Source organism: Homo sapiens, chromosome 5 (assembly GCF_000001405.40).
Source record: "Homo sapiens chromosome 5, GRCh38.p14 Primary Assembly".
Lineage (NCBI taxonomy): Eukaryota > Metazoa > Chordata > Mammalia > Primates > Hominidae > Homo > Homo sapiens.
In genome coordinates this window covers 18,882,712-18,887,420 of record NC_000005.10, presented here as the reverse complement: position 1 = coordinate 18,887,420, position 4,709 = coordinate 18,882,712, and the positions used below count along the sequence as shown (strand labels likewise).

At 35.6% G+C, this 4,709-nt stretch overlaps 1 pseudogene; it reads left to right on the top strand.

Moving 5' to 3' along the window:
• On the top strand, positions 326 to 799 carry UBE2V1P12 (UBE2V1 pseudogene 12; annotated as a pseudogene).

The window sequence follows — 4,709 nt, the reverse complement described above, 5'->3', positions numbered from 1 at the left end:
AACCTCAAAATATATCACAGACCTAAATATAAAAGGTAAAATCATAACTCTTCTAGAAGAAAATGTAAGATAAGTTTTTCTGGCATTGTATTGAAGCAAAGATTTAATAAATACAAAATCAAAATTAAAATACCAAAGAAAATTTTGTCTCCATTATAAAATCATAAATTAGAATTCATCAAAGTTAATAACTGTAGCTGTTTGAAGAACAATATTTTTTTCTTATCCTACCATGCCTAAGATGAACAATATTAGTAGAATGAAAATACAAGCCACAAACTGAGAGAAAATGTTTTCAAATCAAAAGTATGATAAAGGAAGTGGCACAAGATGGCAGCCACCATGGGCTCAGACAATTTATGAAAACTAAATGTATGGCTTTAATCTAGAATGTGGACCTAAATACCGAGAAATGTCACCCCTTTTAAGATTTATAACAAAAATTAATATAAACGGAGTTAATAGTTCTAATGTAGTGGTGGATCCAAAAGCTCTATCAGTGCTAGCAAAAAAGTAGAATTTATATAGCTTCTAAGTTGTTCTGCAACAACTTTGGCACCTAATGATGTCTAAATAAAATATAAAGCTTCTTCAGCTGCCTGAAGAACAATCAAAAAGAAAAACACTTCTTCTTTATAACAAGAGAAGTGTTGAAAGGCACTTCTCTTTCTACCCCATTTTATTAAAACAATCTTCATTTTCCACAGCAGTAAATTTTCCAGATACATCTTGCAGACCACAAAATACTAGAAAGGAACCTCTCATTCAAAGGCAATTTATTTTAAGATACTGTAAATGATATATTTTTTGTCCACTCAAAGGATATAAGTTGTGCTATAACATATCATCCTATGAAGTGTAACCACTGTCCACATAGTTAAACTTCTGGGAGTGAGAAAGTATATTTAAATTAATTCCCATAGTAACTGGTGGGGAACATCTAACTCAGCTGTGAAAAGACACATCACACAATCGCCTTGCTGCTGATTCCATGTCTTGGGTCTTTTCTTTTCCCCTCTTCTCTCACCCCTTCTCCCATCTTCCTAGTAATAGCTGTCAGCTTGAGGGTCTTGTTAGACCAGATGTGAAGGTTTCCAGTTGGTTGCAACCTGTGGCACTACTCCTGGTTCTGTGGGGTATTTTGCCTGCACCTCTGATTTCTTTCTTTAAGTCTGAAGTGATCCCCCGCTTCTAAGACATCATCCTGTTCCTCTACTCCTCCACCCCTGTCCTTAGAGAAAGCACAGACTGTAACACCTCTGCAACCCTGAGAGATTGGACTTTGGTGAGGAATTCAGGGATTTCCCCATATATTCTCTCCTCCACCTTTATTGAGGGATGCTTCATTTTTCCTCTCTCCTCCTCAAGTCCCTTTTTTCACTGTCACCACCCAACATCTTCCATGACACTTCCTTACTATTGCCAGAAGCCATCAGATAAGGTTGGAAAGAGTCTCCGATCTCCTTCATTTAGTTTTAAAGTCACATTTATTCACTTTCCACAAGACTGGAAAATAAGTATTGTGTCCTCAGCCCTGCCACCCTCTGCTGTCATCATCAGTTGATGTGGTTTTCTTAGCTCAAGTTTTGATAAGTTGAGAAGAACAGTGACCAGGATTAGTCAGTCCTGACAGGTCTCAGAGTCTTTGGTGGTTAAACTTGGAGAAAGGTCTCATAAAATACTTGTAAGCACACATGATCCCTCTGATTTGTTTTCTTTTTCTGTAATTGCTTTTGCCCTTAAAAATTGAAGAAGTTTTAAACAGGATTCTCATTTGGTCATCCTTGCAATCCATTGCATCTAATTTTGAGCCTGACAACTGGAACAATAAACCCTTGTATTTGGACACACTTTGGTTTTGGTTCTTCTCACCATCCTCTGCAGGGATTGAGAAATAACTTTGTGTTAACAGCCTCTGAAATTGGTGGGCTTGACTTCCTGGGAAATTGCTGCATTTTTCCACTTTCTGGTCAGGACAACTAAATGCTAAAATGTGGATGCATACCAAATACAAGAAATTCGTAGTGAAAAGAAATCTGGTAAAAGATTTATATCTAGAATAGATATAAATAACACACTCTAAAAACTCAGAAAACAAATATACCTCTCATGGTTAAAGATTTGAAAAAATAGTACACTTCACCAACGCAAGTAGCAAACGCAAGTGCAGAAAAGTATTCAACATTATAAGTCATTAGGTAAATGCAAATAAAAACCAAAATGAGATGCCAGTATACACACATATGAATGGCTAAACTGAAATGACTGACTATACCTAGTGCTGGCCAATTTGTGGAACAACTGCAACTCTTACACACTGCTAAGAAACGTATAAAATGACATAATCAATTTAAAGAAAAAATATTTGCATTCTTAAGAATGTGAATATGCATGTAACATATGATATAGCCATTTCACCTCTTACTACTACAGAGAAATAAAACACAACACAAATGTTATGAGTATTATGTGTATTAACCAATAGCTACAGGCAACATGAATATTCATCTACAGGTAAATAGTTAACTAAGTAGTGACATTTTCATACAATGGAATACTATTCAGGAATGAGCTAAATCTCAAAATAACTATGCTATGTGAAAGAAAATCAGACAAAAAATATTGCATATTGCTTTATTCCATTAATACAAAGTTCTAGAAAATGTGCATTGATCTAGTGTGACAGAATATTTCCCTTGGAAGTCTCTATGGTAGATTGCAAACTTTATTATAACACTGATTCCCCAAAGCATCCATTTGTTTAACATAGACTTTATTTTTCAGAACAATTTTAAGTTCACAGCAATATTGAGCAGAAAGCACATAATTCCCCCTAACACACACATACAGTCTCCCCCAACATCAACCTCCCACATCAAAGTGTTACATTTGTTATAATCAATGAGCCAACATTAGCACAATGTTATCACCAAAGTTCATAATTTACATAAGGCTCACTCTTAATGTTGTACTTTTTACTGATTTTGCAAATGTATAATGACATGTATCCATCATTATAGTAGCGTAGAGAGTAGTCTGACTGCCCTAAAGATCCTTTGTTCCATGCTATTTTCCATGTGACATTTCACCTATTCCCATCAAGCAAAGGAATATATCATCACCTTTCCTGAGAAATGAGTTGTTTTAATTTGCATTTCCCTGATCATTAGTGATGTTGAGCATTTTTTCATATGTTTGTTGGCTGATGAGATTGGAGACCATTATTCTAAGTGAAGTAACTCAGGAATGGAAAAACCAAACATCGTATGTTCTCACTGGTATGTCGGAGCTAAGCTATGAGGACACAAAGGCATAAGAATGATACAATGGACTTTGGGGACTTGCGGGGAAGAGCAGGAGGGGGGTGAGGGATAAAAGACAACAAATACGGTTCAGTATATACTGCTCAGGTGATGGGTGCATCAGGATCTCACAAATCACCACTAAAGAACCTACTCGTGTAACCAAATACCACCTGTACCCCAAGAACTTATGAAAAAAACTTTAAAAACTATTATGCTAACAAAAAAATAAAAATAAAAAATAAATTATCTTATTTTTCCTAATAAATAAATAAAAGACACCATTCAGTTTGGTCTGGTTTCTTGTGGAGGGGCGCAAATCTGAGAATGAGGGGTAGTGATCCAGACCTAAAAAAAAAAAAAAAAAAACACAGAAAGAAATGGGTTGGCTGAATGCAGCAGAGGTAACAAAGGGCTGATTCTAAATTTATTTCTCAAAACACCTTGAATGTTTCTGCTGTCTGTCTTTGAAGGCCTGTCCAATTACCATAAGAACTTACTCAGGCTTTCGTACTAGTCGATGAGAGATCAAGTAGAGCAGAGTTGAGTCCTGCTGAGGCATCCTTGACTGGCTGGTCATCTGCCAGCCCTGGAAAGTGACTACAGATGCATGAGTGAGACTAGTCAAAATCAGAACCGTTCAGCTGAGTCTACCCCAAACTACCAAACTGTAGAATTCTGAACTATATAAATGGCTACTGGTTTAAGCTACAAAGTCTTGGGGTGTTAGGTTTTGCAGAAAGATCTTACAGAACCGTCTCTTATGCACCATCCCCACCTTTGCAAATAGACCGTGTAATTATATTCTCCTCAGATAATATTTTAGTATAACATCAATTCTTTCCTGTTCCTCATTGATAAATTGGTGATTGGTGAAATGTTTAGGATATATCCCAGAAAATGCAAAGTGTCCCACTGCATCCCTCAATAATATTCATCTTTCTTTGCCTAGACTAACTGCTTTCTATAAAACTTTTTCATTGCTACTATAAACTTTCAAGATCTGGTTTCTCTTAACTTCATTTTGTGGATTGTAAATATAAATATTTTGCTCTATTTCAGGTTCACTTTTTGATACTCTAATTTAGTGCATCAGGGTATTTTGAGTTACTTCTCTGAGTTTGTTAAAATTGGGGTATATTGAGAGCATTGACTTGCTAGATAAGGCCTAACATTTTCTATCATGGAGGTTACAAAAAAATACTCCAATTACCCTCTTCATGAGACCACACCTTGTCTCATCTTTCTACACTTACAATAGAACATGAAGGTATGTAGCAAACATTTTATAGCACATTTTAAGTCAATAGTATTTTACATTATCTTTTTTAAAAGACCACAAATAAGCGATCTAATTTACTCCTATTCATTCAGAGTAGACACAAGAATGAGGACTTATCACATTAC